The 2,023-nt window shown below is 41.8% G+C and overlaps 1 non-coding gene across 1 annotated transcript; it reads right to left on the bottom strand.

The window, feature by feature from the left end:
• Window positions 1-252: 252 nt before the first annotated feature.
• On the bottom strand, window positions 253-331 carry MIR4790 (microRNA 4790). Its single transcript, NR_039953.1, has one exon. It is a non-coding gene; the product is annotated as a microRNA 4790 (primary transcript).
• Between the last annotated feature and the right edge of the window lie 1,692 nt (window positions 332-2,023).

Genomic DNA, 2,023 nt, shown 5'->3' on the forward strand with positions numbered 1-2,023 from the left:
AGTGAGCCGAGGTCGTGCCACTGCACTCCAGCCTGGGCGACAGCGAGACTCCGAATCAACAAAAAAAAAAAAAAAAAAAAAAATCAGGTGATTTTCACTGGAAATGAATAGACTGATGATAAATCCTGGGCGATTTGTCTTCGCAGTATGATCTTGTTTGCACATTTTTCCAGGAATATTTCATAATAGAAGCACATAAAACATTTTAAAAATGCGACAAGATGGACAGTACTCTTTAAAAATGACAATGAACAATGTGACATCGCTTTACCATTCATGTTTTTAAAATCTACCTTTCAGTGAACATGAATGGTAAAGCGATGTCACATTGTTCATTATCATTTTTCTTTTGTAATCTACATTTAATGTTTTACCTGCTGCCCATTTGAGCTTGGGAGAAGAGGCAGGGGTGTCTGGGGATGAGAAATATCGGCCAGTTGGCTGCAGTTAATTTTTCATAAGTCTCATTTATCGAAATCTGTAATTTGAACACGGCTGTTCTTTGAAATGTTCCAGTCTTTCTGAGTTCAATCAATTTCTTTCTTTTTTTTCTTTAACCCACTCCGCCATTCAATCAATTTCTTAATCATGTAACAACAGCGTGAGCCTTTGAAAACCAGACACAGGCTACAGAAAACTACACATGTTCTCTTTCACAGGGTGCAGAATATGGAATTTGATGCCTCCTCCACAAAAACTCATCAAATAGCACTGCACATCTGAGTGGCTTGGGGAGGGAAAAAAATGTATTTTTAAATGAAAGAAAAGAAAATCAGAAATGATCATTGTTAGATGAACAAAAAAAATCAGGATCTCAACAGCACCTGATGAAAGGCAAATTATACTATTCACATTGATCGCTTTTTCTTTCTTTTTTCAAATGATTTATTATCCTTTGATATCACAATCAGTTAGCTTGCTTGCTGCGGCATAAATATTTGATCTTGGAGTAACGTTTTTGACGACTGCTTTTTGCTACAGCCGGACTTTGCCTCCAACTTTCCTTGATTAAATAGAGGAGGCAAATATGAGGTGCGCAAAGAGAATAGAAATAAGTGACCTGGAATTTATCCAAGTAAAGAGAAAGCCCCAGGAAATGTATGAATATTGGCAGGGAGAAGCTCCACAACTGTTTCCTGGTGCTGGAGGAGGTGTGTCCTCTTTCGGTTTGTTTTGTGCCTGCCTGCCTGCCTGCCTGCCTGGGGACAAGCAGAATACCATGGAATTCATTTTTTCTTCAAACTGTATTCTTTGGTTCTTTGGTTATTATTGAAGCGAGCTGTATATGGAGGGGCTGGTATTTTCAGACAGTCATTGTATGTGCCAAGATTCAGGCTGAATAAAGTGGCTGGGAGACGGCGAACATTTCATTGCTTTCCCAATGGTACATCCCTAATTGTAGATCCTCGAGAAAAGGGTGCAGCTGTGAGAAGTTTGCAGCCAGTCCTTACAGCAACTTGGGATTGAAAATACCTGGTAAGGCAAGATCTGGGTAGGGCACTGACTGCCCCGACTCCCTCTAACACCCACTGACTCCAGTTCTGTTTTCTGAGTTCACACAAAACAAAGCTAGCCCAGTGTCCAAATACTTGAAGACAGCGTCTTATCCTCATTCTTGGCTGCACTCATCTCTTCTTTAGGTTAAAAAAAAATTATTTTTTTTGAGACAGAATCTCGCTCTGTTGCTCAGGCTGGAGTGCAGTGGTGCGATCTCAGCTCACTGCAACCTCCGCCTCCTGAGTTCAAGCAATTCTCGTGCCTCAGCCTCCCCAGTAGCTGGGACTACAGGTGCCTACCACCGTGCCCGGCTAATTTTTGTATTTTTAGTAGAGACGGGGTTTTTCTATGTTGGCCAGGCTGGTCTCCACCTCCCAGCCTCAAGCAATCTGCCCACCTCGGCCTCCCAAAGTGCTGGGATTATGGGCTTGAGCCACTGCACTCAGTCTCAAATTTGGTTTAACCAAAGCTCCCTTGTCATGGTTTAAAGTCTTGCAATCACCCTCATAACTTTCCTTTGGAATCC

The sequence above is a fragment of the Homo sapiens genome, chromosome 3 (assembly GCF_000001405.40).
Source record: "Homo sapiens chromosome 3, GRCh38.p14 Primary Assembly".
NCBI lineage: Eukaryota > Metazoa > Chordata > Mammalia > Primates > Hominidae > Homo > Homo sapiens.